The 20,233-nt window shown below is 36.7% G+C and overlaps 1 protein-coding gene across 20 annotated transcripts in view, besides 2 other annotated features; it reads left to right on the top strand.

Annotated features, from left to right (window-relative positions):
• Positions 1 to 20,233, top strand: part of STK3 (serine/threonine kinase 3) — a 598,636-nt gene that overhangs the window by 281,577 nt on the left and 296,826 nt on the right. The window lies entirely within an intron of this gene.
• Positions 9,733 to 10,343: an enhancer, noted in NCBI's record as "H3K27ac-H3K4me1 hESC enhancer chr8:99662919-99663529 (GRCh37/hg19 assembly coordinates)". NCBI's record gives its function as "activates a minimal SCP1, AML or CMV promoter by ChIP-STARR-seq in primed H9 embryonic stem cells {active_cell/tissue: H9 hESC(primed)}" and the evidence as "EXISTENCE:reporter gene assay evidence [ECO:0000049][PMID:30033119]".
• Positions 10,344 to 10,955: an enhancer, noted in NCBI's record as "H3K27ac-H3K4me1 hESC enhancer chr8:99662307-99662918 (GRCh37/hg19 assembly coordinates)". NCBI's record gives its function as "activates a minimal SCP1, AML or CMV promoter by ChIP-STARR-seq in primed H9 embryonic stem cells {active_cell/tissue: H9 hESC(primed)}" and the evidence as "EXISTENCE:reporter gene assay evidence [ECO:0000049][PMID:30033119]".

Raw genomic sequence — 20,233 nt, 5'->3', positions numbered from 1 at the left:
ACTCTTGATTTCATTGTGTGGATTTAAGTTAGTATCTAGTGTCCTTTCATTTCTACCTGAAGAACTTCCTTTTTGTTTTTTGCAGGGCAGGTCTGCTAGCAGTGAATTCTCTCAGTTTTTGTTTATCTGGGAATGTCTTAATTTCTTCTTCATTTTTGAGGAGGGAGAGGAAGTCCCAGGTAGCAGAGGCTTCTACAGTGATGATGGGAAAGTGAAGAGAAGAGGGAAGGGAAAACCTAATGTGATATCTTGACTGACAAATACTGGATGGAAAGTTGTATGTTGGGTACTGATTGCATTGGTAAAGGGCTTCAAAGCAGAAAGTCTTGGCTTGGAATCCTACAACATTGGTGGGAGAGGGGTGAATGAATATGGCTAAGGGACAGTTTTAAGAAATAAAGTTGATAGTGTTTGTCAGAATTGATATGGAGAGAGCTGCTATATCACATTCATGGGGCATCAGATATTAAAACCTTTGGCTTCCCTAAAGTTGTAACACATAACATACATGTTTTACCTGTAAGATGTACCATTTCTTTGCCCGTAAGAAAAATTGTGCACAGATCTTCCATTTTTACTTTACATTCTTTTAAAAAGCTCTTATTTTTAATTGTGGTTAAAAAAATTTACCATCTTAACTGTTTTTCAGTGCACAGTTCAGTAGCGTTAAATGTATTCAGATTGTTGTACAGCAGATCTGCAGGATTTTTTCATCTAGCACAACTGCAACTCTTACCCATTAAGTAACCACTCCCCATTGCTTCCTCCCTCCAGCCCTTGGTAACTACCATTCTACTTTCTGTCTCTATGATAATTTAACTACTTTAGATACTTCCTGTAAGTGTAATCATAGAGTATTTTTCTTTTTGCAATGGGCTTATTTCACTTAGCATAATGTCCTTAAGCTTCATCTGTATTTAGCATGTGATTTTCTTCCTTTTTAAGGCTAAATAATATTCAATTATATGTTTATACCACGTTTTGTTTATCCATTCATCGTCTTCGTTCATTTTTTGGTTTTGTTTTTAGTATAGATTATCTTTCCTTTTTACCCACTAAATTTCTTTATCTCTAGGCTTCAGCTTATTTAGGGACATAAACCATTTGCCTGGTTTGTTCTTTGGAAGTCATTTTATTTTTTGTTTTTGTTTTTATTTTTATTTGTTTTTTTAAGCTACTTCCTACCGAAAGGATGGAAGTCATTTTAATGGTTATATTTTCCACCTGTTTTGCAGCTATATTGCTAACTTATGTATTGCTATGTTAATTATACATCTAGAAAACTTTGAGTTATTTTATTAGTTTTCTTAGATATTTAATTGATTGGAAGTGTTTTTAAGAAAACTTGGAGTTTGCTAGTTAAATAATTATCAACAATGTAGCTAATAAATTCTTTTCTACTAGCATGCAAACTCTACACTGCATCGGTTCAAATTATAGCACCTAATGCTGCCTCAAGGCTTGTGACATTATAACTTTTCAACTGAGCAATGCTTAATTTGTTATGAAAGTAAAAAAAAAAAAAGTTAAGTAATTCCATCAAAATTGTATTGCTGACATCTGTTTCTGATAAAATTTTAGTAATATGATAAGAATTAAAAGCATTGTGTGATACTGGTTTCTGAGTCTCATGATAGTAAACTGTAGAGGACTTGTCTTTTGTGAATCATTTGTATATGTAAGGTGTTATTAAGTCCAAATGGAAAAGAAATTTGGTGCTGAGAGACATTAAAGCAATAACTGAGTTTCTTTTTGACACCAATCTTCTGAAATATCCTGTTAACATTTGTTAAATAAGTGATATATTACTCCTTGAATTTTGCAAAAATAATGAAAAATTGTATGAAAGAATTTTTAATACAGTCATGCATTGCTTAATGATGGAAATACATTCTGAGAAATCTGTGAAGAATATCATAGAGTGAACTTATACAAACCTAGATAATATAGCTGTCTGTACACCTAGGGTATATGGTATAGCCTATTGCTCCTAGATTACAAACCTTTACAGCATGTTACTGTACTGAATACTGTAGGCAATTGTAACACAATAAGTATTTGCATATCTAAAGGACTAAAATGTTGTTAATGCAGTTGTTAATGCAGCGCATGTTGTATTTAGGGCATAATTTTTTTCTAAAGCCATATAATATTTTAACATAAACAGGTCAGTGTGTTTGACCCATTTTTTAACTCTGTGACATGTGGAATTGTTTCATGTTAACCTGTGGATTTGTCTCATTAGTAATTCTTAAATTACTAATATTGGAAGAAGAGCTATGACCTTTGAGATCAAAATGTATTTGGAGGTAATGAAGTTATTTAAGAATCCTCTTGAAACCAAACTGGTGGTGAGAGGGAAGAAAGCAGTTCAATAGGGGGTGATTGAAAGGAAAAAAGAGACCTAGAAGGGAAGCGTCAGCAAGAAAGAGTCAAAGAGCAAGGAAAGAAAGAAAAATGAGGTAGTTAACAGGAGGTAAAAGTAGTAGTATTGAGAAGAGAAGAGAATGAGGGCTGAAAGGGAGTAAGGTTCTTAACTTCTTACATAGTTTGGGTTGGTTGCCTTTTGATCTCTCAGAACTAGGAACAGATATGTTTGCTTTAGTTTGCTGTTGTTGCTGAGCAACTTTGTCACTGGTGCATCCACTAGGGTTATTGCAAGCATGACCCTGCAGGTACTAATCTCAGCAGCACTCCCTCTTCAGTTAACTCCATAGCCTTCTCTGCCTGACCTGAATCAAGCATATTTTGCTCCAAAGCTCATTTTTTTTCTCTACCGCACAGTCCAGCTTCAATAGGGAATTACTTTTTTGGATTTACCATATATCCTATAATTTTGCTGAACTTATTTACCATAGACAATTGATTTTCTTGGATCTAATAGTCTGTGCTCATGCCATCATACAAATTCATATGTTCAGCAGCTTTATTGAGATATACTGACATATAAAGATTTTATATGTTTAAGGTATACAGTGATGTTTTACAAATTTGTATTTTATTTCTTCCCACTTTTCCTATTATGTGACTTTAGGGCAATATACTGATTCTCCTAAATTTTACTTTCTTTATATATTAAATGGACACAATAGATTTATTGGAATCACAGGCTTATTGTAAGGACTAAATGAGAAATTGTGTGTAAAGGATCCATTACAGTATTGGTACATAGGGGTGGTAGGTAGACTGTTATTCTAGTTTTATTTCCATTTTTATTGAGAATGTGTCTGTGTTTCTTCACTTTATATAATTCTAGCATTTAGTTTTAGAAATAAATTTTAAGAAATCACATTAAGATACTCTTAATACTCTTTTTTTTGCTTTTTTGCATTTTAATCCTGAGTACTTTATCTGATCAATTCTTGAGTGATAAGGTAATATAACCTAAACATTTCTCTATACATGTGAGGAATTGTTTCAGCCACATATTTTAAGGTTGAGTCTAAGATTATAATACAAATATTTTAATGTATTTATATCTATTTTTCATGGCGTTTATAAGATTTGTGGTGGCTTTTCTTTTCGCTAGGAATTCTATTCTTCCATATAACCCTATGGGTCTCTCTCCTGCCCTCATTTCCTTTCATTATCTACTGAAATGGCATATTATCAGAGAAGCAAGAAAACATAATGGTTAAGAGCTGGACAGCTTGGTTCTACTACTTATTTGCTGTTTTACCTTTGGTAAATCAACTTGTTTGTGCCTCAGTTTCACCAGTTATAGCATTTTTATTTTCATAGTAACTATCTCGAAGGGTTGTTTGTGATTGAATGATTTGATGTGTGTCCAGTACTTACCACAGTACCTGGCACTTAGAAAGCACTATATATGGGTGAATGGCCATTATTGTCAAAATCAGAGGTCGGTCTTGACTGTTATGTATATATTATAGAAGATTTTCCTTTCCTTGCCTTATTTTTTCTTAGCTCTTCTAACCATTTTATATTTAATTAATTGATTCATTTATGTGCTTATTGTCTGTCTTTGTCTGCTGGAATATATGTATTCTTTAAAGGCAGGGAGTTTTTTGTCATTTTGTATCCATCTGTATTACGTAGAGTAATTCTTATTAAATAATAAATGAATGAGTGACTCAACCAGTATTTCATCCACCTTTCAGAGTAAAGATATGTTTAGATATTCAGAGATTGACAGAATATAACTCTCATTTGCTTCATTTGAGGAAAATACTTGAACTAACTATAACCAAACAGCAAATGAATCAGAATTGAGGCCTTGAAAGATTATGAAGAAGAAACAGTTATAAACAATAAATCTTTCTATATATATTACCAAATCCCAATGGATAATGATAGAGTGACTGGAAGCATACTAAATAAGAATTTTTGAAATAAAAAGGACGCACTAATTAATAGCCTTTAACTGAAAATAATTCTGCATAAATTAAAGAATATCAAGTAGGGTGTATCAAATTGAAGAAGGAAAATTAGATGATGATAATGGATGCTGAAAAAATTGAATAAAATTCAACAGCCTTTCTTGAGTACATAAATATAAAGTATATAAAAAAGGAAACTTTTTTTTTTATTATACTTTAAGTTTTAGGGTACATGTGCACAATGTGCAGGTTAGTTACATATGTATACACGTGCCATGCTGGTGTGCTGCACCCATTAACTCGTCATTTAGCATTAGGTATATCTCCTAATGCTATCCCTCCCCCCACCTCCCACCCCACAACAGTCCCCAGAGTGTGATGTTCCCCTTCCTGTGTCCATGTGTTCTCATTGTTCAATTCCCACCTATGAGTGAGAACATGCAGTGTTTGGTTTTTTGTCCTTGCGATAGTTTACTGAGAATGATGATTTCCAATTTCATCCATGTCCCTACAAAGGACATGAACTCATCATTTTTTATGGCTGCATATCATTCCATGGTGTATATGTGCCACATTTTCTTAATCCAGTCTATCATTGTTGGACATTTAGGTTGGTTCCAAGTCTTTGCTATTGTGAATAGTGCCACAATAAACATACGTGTGCATGTGTCTTTATAGCAACATGATTTATAGTCCTTTGGGTATATACCCAGTAATGGGATAGCTGGGTCAATGGTATTTCTAGTTCTAGATCCCTGAGGAATCGCCACACTGACTTCCACAATGGTTGAACTCATTTACATTCCCACCAACAGTGCAAAAGTGTTCCTATTTCTCCACATCCTCTCCAGCACCTGTTGTTTCCTGACTTTTTAATGATCGCCATTCTAACTGGTGTGAGATGGTGTCTCATTGTGGTTTTGATTTGCATTTCTCTGATGGCCAGTGATGGTGAGCATTTTTTCATGTGTTTTTTGGCTGCATAAATGTCTTCTTTTGAGAAGTGTCTGTTCATGTCCTTCGCCCACTTTTTGATGGGGTTGTTTGTTTTTTTCTTGTAAATTTGTTTGAGTTCATTATAGATTCTGGATATTAGCCCTTTGTCAGATGAGTAGGTTGCGAAAATTTTCTCCCATGTTGTAGGTTGCCTGTTCACTCTGATGGTAGTTTCTTTTGCTGTGCAGAAGCTCTTTAGTTTAATTAGATCCCATTTGTCAATTTTGGCTTTCGTTGCCATTGCTTTTGGCATTTTAGACATGAAGTCCTTGCCCATGCCTATGTCCTGAATGGTAATGCCTAGGTTTTCTTCTAGGGTTTTTCTGGTTTTAGGTCTAACATGTAAGTCTTTAATCCATCTTGAATTAATTTTTGTATAAGGTGTAAGGAAGGGATCCAGTTTCAGCTTTCTACATGTCGCTAGCCAGTTTTCCCAGCACCGTTTATTAAATAGGGGATCCTTTCCCCATTGCTTGTTTTTGTCAGGTTTGTCAAAGATCAGATAGTTGTAGGTATGCGGCGTTATTTCTGAGGGCTCTGTTCTGTTCCATTGATCTATATCTCTGTTTTGGTACCAGTACCATGCTGTTTTGGTTACTGTAGCCTTGTAGTATAGTTTGAAGTCAGGTAGTGTGATGCCTCCAGCTTTGTTCTTTTGGCTTAGGATTGACTTGGCAATGCGGGCTCTTTTTTTTTTCCATATGAACTTTAAAGTACTTTTTTCCAATTCTGTGAAGAAAGTCACTGGTAGCTTGATGGGGATGGCATTGAATCTATAAACTACCTTGGGCAGTATGGCCATTTTCACGATATTGATTCTTCCTACCCATGAGCATGGAATGTTCTTGCATTTGTTTGTATCCTCTTTTATTTCATTGAGCAGTGGTTTGTAGTTCTCCTTGAAGAGGTCCTTCACGTCCCTTTTAATTTGGATTCCTAGGTATTTTATTCTCTTTGAAGCAATTGTGAATGGGAGTTCACTCATGATTTGGCTCTCTGTTTGTCTGTTATTGGTGTATAAGAATGCTTGTGATTTTTGCACATTGATTTTGTATCCTGAGACTTTGCTGAAGTTGCTTATCAGCTTAAGGAGATTTTGGGCTAACACAATGGGGTTTTCTAGATATCCAATCATGTCATCTGCAAACAGGGACAATTTGCCTTCCTCTTTTCCTAATTGAATACCCTTGATTTCCTTCTCCTGCCTAATTGCCCTGGCCAGAACTTCCAACACTATGTTGAATAGGAGTGGTGAGAGAGGGCATCCCTGTCTTGTGCCAGTTTTCAAAGGGAATGCTTCCAGTTTTTGCCCATTCAGTATGATATTGGCTGTGGGTTTGTCATAGATAGCTCTTATTATTTTGACATACGTCCCATCAATACCTAACTTATTGAGAGTTTTTAGCATGAAGGATTGTTGAATTTTGTCAAAGGCCTTTTCTGCATCTATTGAGATAATCATGTGGTTTTTGTCTTTGGTTCTGTTTCTGTGCTGGATTACATTTATTGATTTCTGTATATCGAACCAGCCTTGCATCCCAGGGATGAATCCAACTTGATCATGGTGGATAAGCTTTTTGATGTGCTGCTGGATGCGGTTTGTCAGTATTTTATTGAGGATTTTTGCATCAATGTTCATCAAGGATATTGGTCTAAAATTCTCTTTTTTGGTTGTGTCTCTGTCAGGCTTTGGTATCAGGATGATGCTGGCCTCATAAAATGAGTTAGGGAGGATTCCCTCTTTTTCTATTGATTGGAATAGTTTCAGAAGGAATGGTACCAGTTCCTCCTTGTACCTCTGGTAGAATTAGGCTGTGAATCCTTCTGGTCCTGGAGTTTTTTTGGTTGGTAAGCTATTAATTATTGCCTCAATTTCAGAGCCTGTTATTGTTCTATTCAGAGATTCAACTTCTTCCTGGTTTAGTCTTGGGAGGGTGTATGTGTCGAGGAATTTATCCATTTCTTCTAGATTTTCTAGTTTATTTGCACAGAGGTGTTTATAGTATTCTCTGATGGTAGTTTGTATTTCTGTGGGATCGGTCGTGATATCCCCTTTATCATTTTTTATTGCTTCTATTTGATTCTTCTCTCTTTTCTTCTTTATTAGTCTTGCTAGTGGTCTATCAATTTTGTTGATCCTTTCAAAAAACCAGCTCCTGAATTCATTAATTTTTTGAAGGGTTTTTTGTGTCTCTATTTCCTTCAGTTCTGCTCTGATTTTAGTTATTTCTTCCCTTCTGCTAGCTTTTGAATGTGTTTGCTCTTGCTTTTCTAGTTCTTTTAATTGTGATATTAGGGTGTCAATTTTGGATCTTTCCTGCTTTCTCTTTTGGGTATTTAGTGCTATAAATTTCCCTCTACACACTGCTTTGAATGTGTCCCAAAGAATCTGGTATGTTGTGTCTTTGTTCTCATTGGTTTCAAAGCACGTCTTTATTTCTGCCTTCATTTCGTTATGTACCCAGTAGTCATTCAGGAGCAGGTTGTTCAGTTTCCATGTAGTTGAGCGGTTTTGAGTGAGTGTCTTAATCCTGAGTTCTAGTTTGATTGCACTGTGGTCTGAGAGACAGTTTGTTATAATTTGTGTTCTTTTACATTTGCTGAGGAGAGCTTTACTTCCAGCTATGTGGTCAGTTTTGGAATAGGTGTGGTGTGGTGCTGAAAGAAATGTATATTCTGTTGATTTGGGGTGGAGAGTTCTGTAGATGTCTATTAGTTCCGCTTGGTGCAGAGCTGAGTTCAGTTCCTGGGTATGCTTATTAACTTTCTGTCTGGTTGATCTGTCTAATGTTGACAGTGGAGTGTTAAAGTCTCCCATTATTATTGTGTGGGAGTCTAAGTCTCTTTGTAGGTCACTCAGGACTTGCTTTATGAATCTGGGTGCTCCTGTATTGGGTGCATATATATTTAGGATAGTTAGCTCTTCTTGTTGAATTGATCCCTTTACCATTATGTAATGGCCTTCTTTGTCTCTTTTAATCTTTGTTGGTTTAAAGTCTGTTTTATCAGAGACTAGGATTGCAACCCCTGCCTTTTTTTGTTTTCCATTTGCTTGGTAGATCTTCCTCCATCCTTTTATTTTGAGCCTATGTGTGTCTCTGCACGTGAGATGGGTTTCCTGAATACAGCACACTGATGGGTCTTGACTCTTTATCCAATTTGCCAGTCTGTGTCTTTTAATTGGAGCATTTAGTCCATTTACATTTAAAGTTAATATTGTTATGTGTGAATTTGATCCTGTCATGATGATGTTAGCTGGTTATTTTGCTCGTTAGTTGATGCAGTTTCTTCCTAGCATTGGTGGTCTTTACAATTCGGCATGATTTTGTAGTGGCTGGTACCGGTTGTTCCTTTCCATGTTTAGTGCTTCCTTCAGGAGCTCTTTTAGGGCAGGCCTGGTGGTGACAAAATCTCTCAGCATTTGCTTTTCTGTAAAGGATTTTATTTCTCCTTCACTTATGAAGCTTAGTTTGGCTGGATATGAAATTCTGGTTTGAAAATTCTTTTCTTTAATAATCTTGAATATTGGCCCCCACTGTCTTCTGGCTTGTAGAGTTTTGCCGAGAGATCCGCTGTTGGTCTGAGGGGCTTCCCTTTGTGGGTAACTTGACCTTTCTCTCTGGCTGCCCTTAACATTTTTTCCTTCATTTCAACTTTGGTGAATCTGACAATTATGTGTCTTGGAGTTGCTCTTCTCGAGGAGTATCTTTGTGGCGTTCTCTGTATTTCCTGAATCTGAATGTTGGCCTGCCTTGCTAGATTGGGGAAGTTCTCCTGGATAATATCCTGCAGAGTGTTTTCCAACTTGGTTCCATTCTCCCTGTCACTTTCAGGTACACCAATCAGACGTAGATCTGGTCTTTTCACATAGTCCCATATTTCTTGGAGGCTTTGTTCATTTCTTTTCATTCTTTTTTCTCTAAACTTCCCTTCTCGCTTCATTTCATCTTCCATCACTGATACCCTTTCTTCCAGTTGATCACATCAGCTCCTGAGGCTTCTGCATTCTTCACGTAGTTCTCGAGCCTTGGCTTTCAGCTCCATCAGCTCCTTTAAGCACTTCTCTATATTGGTTATTCTAGTTATACATTCGTCTAAATTTTTTTGAAAGTTTTCAACTTCTTTGCCTTTGGTTTGAATTTCCTCCTGTAGCTCAGAGTAGTTTGATCGTCTGAAGCCTTCTTCTCTCAACTCGTCAAAGTCATTCTCCGTCCAGCTTTGTTCCGTTGCTGGTGAGGAGCTGCATTCCTTTGGAGGAGGATAGGCACTCTGCTTTTTAGAGTTTCCAGTTTTTCTGCTCTGTTTTCCCCCATCTTTGTGGTTTTATCTACTTTTGGTCTTTGATGATGGTGATGTAGAGATGGGTTTTTGGTGTGGATGTCCTTTCTGTTTGTTAGTTTTCCTTCCTACAGACAGGACCCTCAGCTGCAGGTGTGTTGGAGTTTGCTAGAGGTCCACTCCAGACTCGGTTTGCCTGGGTACCAGCAGCGGTGGCTGCAGAACAGCAGATTTTCGTGACCGCGAATGCTGCTGTCTGATCGTTCCTCTGGAAGTTTTGTCTCAGAGGAGTACCCGGCCGTGTGAGGTGTCAGTCTGCCCCTACTTGGGGGTGCCTCCCAGTTAGGCGGCTCCAGGGCCAGGGGTCAGGGACCCACTTGAGGAGGCAGTCTGCCCGTTCTCAGATCTCCAGCTGCGTGCTGGGAGAACCACTGCTGTCTTCAAAGCTGTTCAGACAGGGACATTTAAGTCTGCAGAGGTTACTGCTGTCTTTTTGTTTGTCTGTGCCCTTCCTCCAGAGGTGCAGCCTACAGAGGCAGGCAGGCCTCCTTGAGCTGTGGTGGGTGCTACCCAGTTGGAGCTTCCTGGCTGCTTTGTTTACCTAAGCAAGCCTGGGCAATGGCAGGCGCCCCTCCCCCAGCCTCGCTGCCACCTTGCAGTTTGATCTCAGACTGCTGTCCTAGCAATCAGCGAGACTCCGTGGGCGTAGGACCCTCCGAGCCATGGGCGGGATATAATCTCCTGGTGCGCTGTTTTTTAAGCCCGTCGGAAAAGCACAGTATTAGGGTGGGAGTGACCCGCTTTTCCAGGTGCCCTCTGTCACCCCTTTCTTTGACTAGGAAAGGGACTCCCTGACCCCTTGCGCTTCCCGAGTGAGGCAATACCTCTCCCTGCTTTGGCTCGCGCATGGTGCGCTGCACCCCCTGTCCTGCGCCCACTGTCTGGCACTCCCTAGTGAGGTGAACCCGGTACCTCAGATGGAAATGTAGAAATCACCCATCTTCTGTGTCGCTCACGCTGAGAGCTGTAGACCAGAGTTGTTCCTATTCGGTCATCTTGGCTGCCCTCCGGGCCATTCTTCAAAAGTAAACATTTTAAACAGTGGAATGCTAATGTTATTTCTAATAACAAGTATGTCCTCTATTATCATTATTATCATTATCGTTATTTAGTTTTGTTCTAGCATGTTGAATGAGGTAAAAAATGAAATAATCTGTATGAACATTAGAAAAGAAGAGGAAAAATACATTTTATTTTGCTGATATGATTGTATGCTTATGATATCCAAAAGGTACCAGTAAAATATTATCAGACTTAATAACATAATTTGGTGAATAGTTGTATATAAAATACACAGAAATTGGTAGCCTTTCTCAGTGCTGATAATAATGTTATTAAAGAAAAATTGGAAAAAGTAATCAATTAAAAGTAGTTTCAAAAACTAGAAAATCCTTAGGAATAAAGTTAACAAAAGAAGTACACTTCTGTAGGAAGAAATTCGTAAAAATCTAATTGAAAGACATTACACTGGAATTGAAATGAAGGAAAGAGCATGCTGGCTTTAAAAATATGTTCCCAATTCTTATAATATTGTGTTGCCATGCAAAAACTATATCATAATAATCTTTTACCAAAAATTGTTTAAAAGTTAATTGCAGTTCTAGTTAAAATTCCTTTATGGTTTACATTGGAATTGGGTAACATAATGTTCATACTTGTTGACTAAGAAAATTATGGAGAAAAAAGTGAGAAATGAATAGCTTTACCAGATATTAAAATAAATTCTAAAGCTACTGTAATTACAATAGTCTGTTGGGAATTTAATATGATAAATGTGAAAATTTGAGCTCAATGGGAAAATGATAATCATGCATTTGGAATTATCTGTTCATCTGAAAGAAAATTGAATCTTTGGTCTCTTACAATACCTAAATAAATTCTAAGTATACTAGAGACTTACATGGAAGAATATGAATTCTGGACTATATGCATGAATTAGAAACTTGGGAGAAGTTTCTAACCAACATAGGAAATGCAGGAGCTATGAAAGAAAAATAAATCTAATCATATAATGATTTTTTTTGTAACTTATATGTGGGATCTCATTGGCAGCAAACTCAATAGATAAGCGGTAGGTTGGGAAAAATATTTATACTTCAAATTACAGATAAATGGTTGATATCTACGATATTAAAAAAAACTACAAATTAGTGTCAAAAGACAATCCAGTATAAAAAACAGGGAGAGAGATGAATAGTTGACAGAAATGCAAATCCCAATAGACTAATGACACATAGGAAGATGATTAATAGTACTTTAGGATATGCAGATTAAAGTAACATTGAGTTTTTTTTTTTTTTTTTGAGACAGAGTCTTGCTCTTGTTGCCCAGGCTGGAGTGCAGTGCACAATCTTGGCTCACTGCAACATCTGCCTCCTGGCTTCAAGTGATTTTCCTTCCTCAGCCTCCCAAGTAGCTGGGATTACAGGTGCCCGCCACCATGCCCGGGCTAATTTTTTTTTTTTTTTTGAGACGGAGTCTTGCTCTGTCACCCAGGCTGGAGTGCTGTGGCACAATCTTGGCTCACTGCAACTTCCGCCTCCAGGTTCAAGTGATTCTCCTGCCTCAGCCTCCCGAGTAGCTGGGACTACAGGTGGGTGCCACCACAGCCGGCTTATTTTTGTATTTTTAGTAGAGATGGGGTTTCACCATATTGGCCAGACTGGCTTGAACTCCTGATCTCAAGTGATTCATCTGCCTTGGCTTCCCGAAGTACAGGGATTACAGGCTTGAGCCACTGTGCCTGGCTGAGATATCATCATATATCCAAAATTAAAAATGTTATGGCTCCACTCAATATTGGTGGCAAATTAGAGCAAAAGGCATTTGTGGTAGAAATGTGACATTTACTTCTTTTCTTGGAAAGCAGTTTTGGCAGTTTTACCCCTAGAATTTATCTCATAAAAATAAAAGCATAAATATGTAAGGATATATGCATTTTTCAAAGCAAGGATCTTTTTGCAGTATTTTTATTAGTGGTAAAAAACTGGAAACAAGGTGGGAAAAGTTGAATACATTTGATACATTTTGGCCTTGTAACATGCGGCCATTAAAAAGAATGGAGTTCTGTGTATACCAATTAATGTAGTTATATTCCACTGTTTGCTATGAGATGAGAAAAATAAGATGTGAAGGAGCATATATGGGGACAACTTCATTCCCAAAGAAACAAAATAGAATTTTAAATCTCTACATATGTTTGTACGTGGTTATTTAAGGATGGAGAAGAAGGTATGGAGTGATACATATTAGGTTGTCATTGCTGGTCACCTGGAGTTGTAGAGAAAGGTAGGGGAAAAATCAAGAATGGGAAAGTAGGAGGGATGGAAAAAGATTCAGTAGTTTTATAGGCTTGTATTTGAATAAAGCCCAAGTAGAATACTGACAGTGCATTAATAAAAGGCATTGAGGCAAAAAAGATACCTCCTGATGCACACAGGATTTATGGGACACATTAATGGTCTAGAGTTGTATTGTAAAAGGTATGTTAGCCACAATTTATTAAGGGTTATTAACAATTTATTAAGGAGGAGACATTAGATAATGACATCAAGGCTGGGTGCAATGGCTCATGCCTACAATCCCAGCTACTCAGGAGGCCTAGGTGGGAGGATTGCTTGTATCAAGGAATTCAACACCAGCCTTGGAAACATGGCATACTGTGTCTCTACAAAGAAATACAGAAATTATCTGGGCGTGGTGGCACCTGCCTGTGGACCCTGAGAGGCTGAGGTTGCAGTGAGCCGAGATCGTGCCACTGCAGTCCAGCCTGAGTAACAGAATGAGACCCTGTCTCAAAAAACAAACAAAAAGAACATACTATATATTTATTGTATTTTAAGATAGTCTAGTATATTTTCATGTATTCAAATTTTTATTCGGTGTCTACTCTGCCAGATACCTTTCTAGGCATTTGGGATATATCAGAGATTACATCCTAGAAGGAGGCAATAGATATAAAACAATATATAATAAGTAATTTATATAGAATATGAGAAAGCCATAAGTGTTTTGGAAATGATTAAAGAAAACTAGAGTGTACACTAAGAAGGATACAGGGAGTTTTGGTGGACAAATTTGTGATTTTAAATATGGTGTTCAGAGCCTCCTTGGGAAGGTGATATTTGAGTAGAGGCTTGCAGGTATTGTGGGAGTAAACCACACATATACCTGGGGAGATCATTTTGGGCAGATGGAATGGTCAATGGAAAGCCCTTTTGTGTTTGGAGAGGCAGAAGGGAGCAGAGTGATCTAGGGACAAAGAAGTAGGAGATAATGTCAGAGAAAGACAGGAAGTAAGGGAGGTGATGGAGGTAGGTGAGATCAGTAGTGCCTTGTAGACAGACCCCTGGCAGGCCTTGAGCAGCAGAGTGATAAGATCTGATTTACATTTTTAAAGGATTACTTAGGTTTTGTTGAGAACAGATTGTGGGGGCGGGGTGGGCAAAGATAGAAGGAAAGAGGCCAGTTGGGAGGCCTCTGCAGTAATCCAAGTGAGAGATGATCGTGGCATGTGTTAGGTTGGTAACAGTGGAGGTGGTAAGACCTAATCAGGTTTTGGATATATTTTGAAACAAAAACCCACAGAATTTTTTTGGACACATTGGATGTTGTATGTAGAAGAAAGAAGAGTGAAGTTAGCTGGAGAGAATTACTGTAAAACAGAAAAAAGCAGGAGGTAAAGAGTGACAGAACAATTGAGAGGGACAGAGGGAGAATAAGAACCTCAAGAAGCAGGAGTTTAACACAAAGAAATGTATCTCTAATTTTGGTTTATAGCAGGTGTGTGTGTTTGCATGTGTATGTGTTTGTATATATTAGGGTTGGGATCTTTCTGTACTAAGTAAGTCACATCTGAAGACTGCTGTCTTCTCTTTTGCATAGGCTAGCTCTGAATAGAGTTACTACAATTAAATAGAAATAAACAATTGAATAGATAATAGATAAAATACAATTAAACAATTGAATAGATAAGTGGGTTATTAATATTACAAATATTAAGATACTAAGTGAGAAAAGGAAAACTGGGTGTTTTCTGGGAACTAGGTCAAGTACAAATTGAAACCAGTGTGTAAAGTGCAGTCAAGAAGGGAATGAGATAATAACAGGAATTCTTGTCTAGAAAGGGGAAGACCAAGGAAAGGAGGTAACACTAGCAATGAAATAGTTCATTACAGTGGTAGCATTTGAAAAGTTATAACCTTGAAGAGTTTAGTCATAGCAGTCAGAGAAGAGACTGATGTCCAGCTGGCTGGCTGACTTTTTATTTTCCCACACATTATGTCATCTGCTCTTAGTGTTGATTCTTAGCAGTTTAGGGTAGACTTAAAGTTTGTTCAGAAAGGTGCAATTTTCATTTTCTTGAAGTTGACATTGAAAAGTGGTGAAGCACGACTGGGCATGATAGCTCACGCCTGTAATCCCAACACTTTGGGAGTTCGAGGTGGGTGGATTGCTTGAGCTCAGGAATTCTAGACCAGCAACATGGCAAAACCCTGTCTCTACTCGATATCTATATCTGTATCTATATCTATCTATATCTGTATCTATATCTATATATGTATATATATATAATTAGAAAAGTAGTGAAAGTGTTTTGTAAAATCAGAAATCTCATTACATAGTTATTCTTCAAGTTGTATTTACTCATTTTTCTATTCAATCAGTGTTTACTGAATATCAACTTTGTATTCAAGCACTAGGAATTAAAAGATGAATGAATCACACACTCTGTCATAAAGTACCTCACAGTTTAGAGGTATGTCATTATGTGAGTACTTGAAAATTTCATTTTGATTTTCCTCATAGATTCATTCACTTTTGCTACAGTTTAATATATAATACAGTGTTTAGCAAGAAAGGGTGTCTAATATAAAATGTGCCGTTTAGCCTATAGCAACTTTATATACTTTAAAACCTTATTAACTCCACAGTATTTGAGACAGCAATTATTTCTTAGGCCTTGTGTGTTCCTTTAAGTCAGAGATCCAGGTTTGACATATTTTTGCTAGACATTCTGAAAATGTTTTGAAGCTAATATTGGAGTCCCTGTATGTTTAAGGACTCTACTGAGTAGGAGGATGAACACGCTGCTAAGACATTACTGGTGATTTTTGATTACAAGTTGATATTTAAGTCTCTGCTTCTAGTTCTGCTGTTTAAATGAGTCTCGTTCAGCAGAGCAAAAATTGAAATGTTTTAAATCATTTTGGTACCTGTAATTGTCCATAAACAATCAATTTCAACTTTATGAACTCCCAAATCTTTGGTACACCAAGGGTTGTACTAATAACTGTTCTAATTGGTCTTTGTGGCTGCATGTTTAAATGTTGGAAATGAGACTTTAATGTGAACATGCAGTAAATCTTAACCACGGAGGCACACACAGGTCCCCCTGTAATGTGGACCGGGAAAGAGACACATGTAAACAGACATATTCCTCATCTGAATACGTGGAGCCATACTTTCATAGAATTGCATTCAATGTTTATATATAGAGAGATGGCAATGAAAAACTGCTGTTTGTATGGGTTTACTGTGTATTTTGATCTCTAGGTTATTTACTTCTTCTAAATGTGTAGGGATGATATTAAAACATGCTGGTATCAGTTAATTTAATTAAAATAATAAAAAGTTATATAATTGGGGAGGAGTCATATGCCTTCATTGACCTTAGGAGAAAAAGATTGTTGAGTAAAAATATTTTAATATAATAAATAGTTTTGGATAATAGTTTTTTTGTTAAACATAAAAGACATGAATAATTTAAAGCTTAAGTTATGATGTGATTATAATTTCTGTTGCATTTGGGACCCTTTATTCATGTGAATGTCCTAAAAATATTTGGTCACAGACTGTAAACAACATAAGGAAATCAATTTTCTCAGAAGCTTTTCTAAAGACTTAGAAATATTAAACAAATGCATTCAATACAATGGATGCCGTAAAGCATCAGATAAAATATTAATTTTAATTTTTAATCTGTGAGTTGCTCTCTCAAAAGATTATGGATTTAATAACAGTTTATTGAAATGAGAGCTAAAAGATGTGTCTATACAAGTTCGGTTTCATTCATACTTTGACTTTTAAAGTCAAACACTGATTTTCATCATGTTAAACTTCTAAAGAGCAATGAAAAGAAGATTTTTGGCCAGAGTAAGGAGGCAAACATTTTATAAGAAGGGGAAGTTCAGTAGTGCTAAATAATATAAAACTTGGCTTTAAAAGAAGTCTTTAATTGAATTATTTATCAGTGATGAAATTGAACTTATACAATTCCTCTTTAGGTTCCAAATAATGAAGTTCATTTAGTATTATTATTATTGTGGTTGTTATTATTATTGTTGAGTTGGGGTCTTTGTCTGTTGCCTATGCTGGAGTGCAGTGGTGTGATCATAGTAACTACAGCCTCAAATATCTGAGCTCAGGAGATTTTCCCACTTCAGCCCACATTGACCTGAGTAGCTGGGACTACAGGTGCATGCCATCACACCCAGCTAATTTTTAAGTTTTTTGTAGAGGTGAAGTCTCAGTATGTTGCCCAGGCTGGTCTCAAACTTCTAGGCACAAGCTATCCTTCCTTTGGCCTCCCAGAGTGCTGAGATTATACACATGAGCCACTGTGCCTGGTCACAAAGTTCATTTATTCATTCAACAAATATTTGTTGTGCATCAGCCACTTTTCTATGGGCAGGATATATAGCCTTGAGTAAAACAAAAATTCCTGCCTTCATTGTGTTTATATTCTGGTTGGGTTAGACATAATAAATATAACACATACATAAAATATATCATTGGATGGTGATTAGGGAGTATGAAGGTCTGATTGTACTTTTAAATGGTAGTCAAGGATGCCTTGTTAAGAAGGAGATATCTAAGCTAAAGACTGAAGCACACAAGGGAGTGAGCCATCTGGGGTAAGACTGCCTTGATTGGAGGGAACAGACAGTACAAAGTCTGTGTGAGATGGGAACATGCTTGGCTCTTTGATTCTTAACCAGAGGCCAGTGTGGCTGGAGTGAGCCAGAAGGACATTAATAGAAGATGAGGTAATAATAGGGATAATAAAGGTGTTACAAAGATCTCAAGGTAAGTTTATTTTTTGTTTAATTGTGCTTTCATTTATTGTATTTTATTTTTTGAGCTCTCTGTCGCCCAGGCTGGAGGGCAGTGGAGAGCAATCATGTCTCACTGCAGCCTTGATCTCCCAGGCTCAAGTGATCCTTCCACCTCAGCCTCTGGAGTAGCTGAGACGACAGGTGTGTGTGCCACCACACCCAGCTAATTTTTAAATATTTTTGTAGAGGTGAGGGTCTCACTATGTTGCTCAAGCTGGTCCCAAACTCCTGGGCTCAAGTGATCTTTCTGCCTTGCCCTCCCAAAATGCTGAGATTACAGACATGGGCCACTGTGCCTAGCCTAATTGTTCTTTTAGAAATAGTGTCAGTCAAATGGACTTGCCATTGAAGATTTATAAGAACACTGTGCAGTAGATTTAAACAGTTTGGATGTCATTATACTTGAGATTTTGTTCATTCTTCCATCTGCCTGTCCATCCATCTGCCTGTCTGGGTTAGCAGGCTAGGTAATCATATGTGATCCTGTTTTCAACAAGGATGTAAACTGTTTTAGATCAGTTTACATATTTATCTACATATAGGATGGTTAAAAATAATCATAGAAGAGGAATTAATATCCCTCAATATTAGATTCTTTATGGGAGTGGGCAGCTATCAGGTAGAGTGAAAAGATCCTTGACTTTGTGTTCGTATGGATTTCTTTTACATTCCAGGCCAAATGGTGTACAACCTTGGGCAAATTATACAATCTCTCCCACTCTCAGTCTTCACATGTGAAAAACTGGGTAATAAAAATACTAATCTTCTAAAGGTTTAAGCCTTAGAAATAATGTTATATAAAGGGTGTACACAGTGCCTCTCCTGCTGGAGGCACTTAATAAATGGTAACTAATGTCTTCATGTGAATAAGAGATAAGGATGGTAAGGATAATTATTAATATTATTATTGAAAATATTTTAAAAATTAACCATCTTTACCATTGTTAAGTGTACAGCTCAGTGCCAATAAATACATTTATTTCCCTTTTCCCTCCATTTCACTCCTCCCTCCCCGCTCCCCTTCCTGGCCTCTGGTGATGGCAAGTGTACTCCATATGTCATGAGATCCACTGGTTTGAGCTCTCACATATGAATGAGAACTTGTGACATTTGTGTATTGGAATGGTAGGGATTATTGAGGCCCACGGTTAACCTAGAAAGTGTATACAAGTTAATTTTTTAAATTGTCATTCTTTGAGAACTTTTCTTGGCTACTAAAAAGTGTCAACATGTAGTGATTAGAATTTTCCCTCCTTTTCCATTAACTCTTGAAGATGCTAAGGGGACATTAATTATGAAGGTCTGTAAAGCAGCACCTTGATTTACCTCTAAGAAAGACAACATAGAGTTAGATATAAAGCTGTATTGGGCATATCTGTTCTCAGGTTGGAATGCCTGTGTTTGATTGTTATAGGCAGAGAGAATTATACTCCTTGTGATGTTGTACTCAGTAACATCTGCACAGAGGCTTCTTCCCCTCTACTCTTCATGGCACTTTATATATGCTTCTGCTACCATTTACATATGCATATTTTAGCATTATATGATAAGTTGCATTGAGGACATTTTTCTTGCCTTTGATTAGATTAAATCTTCTTTAAGTAAGGGGTAGTATCTTCAATTTTGTATTTTTAGTGTGGAGCACAGCACAGGGTTGGTAAATTGGCAACATGAGGGCAGGAATTTCTTATTTCTTTTGTTCACTAATATATGTTAAGCACTAGAACAGTGCTTGGCCCATAGTAGTTACTCAGTATGTATTTGTTGGATGAATGAATCCTGTATGCCAAAGATAAAAGTCTTAATATTTAAGAATGTTCTTTTGGCACTATATTGGTTCAGATTTGACAAAATGGTGTAGAACTGATTAATAGGTAAATTCCACCAGAACTTGCAGTCAACCAACACCTTTGCTTTAGACTGCCTCCTGTTTGGGAGGGCAAGAATTTAGCTAATTTGGATCTTGAGCTTAATAAACACTAACATGGTCAAAAGTCAATTAGCAGGAGAGAAAAATGGAAATAAAAGAGCTAAATATTTTGCAGATTCATTAACCAATCTATCATTAATTAATCCTTAAACATTGTATGTTAGTAGCCACTAGAAAGGGAAATCTTCTTGTGGGGAAGATATAGTGCTGGGAAATTTGTAAATTATAAACTACAAAGTTAAAGTAGTAAATAAAGGAAATTAGGAAATGTATTTAAAAAGCCAGTATTATATATAGTAGTATATTTTTATACTATATAAATACATATTACTATAGTTATAAATGTGTTAATATATAGTCTGTATTTATAACATATAAATATAGTAGTATAAACATATTATACTCTTAAATATTTAAGACTGGTAAATAGTTTGATCATCCTTTTTTATGTTTTTTCAATGAGCTAAAAATTAGATTTTATAGTTAAATTCCATTATTTGAGCATATGTTTT

This window comes from Homo sapiens, chromosome 8 (genome assembly GCF_000001405.40).
Source record: "Homo sapiens chromosome 8, GRCh38.p14 Primary Assembly".
NCBI classification, from domain to species: domain Eukaryota; kingdom Metazoa; phylum Chordata; class Mammalia; order Primates; family Hominidae; genus Homo; species Homo sapiens.
The sequence above is the reverse complement of the archived record's forward strand: the minus strand, read 5'-3'. Positions and strand labels throughout refer to the sequence as shown.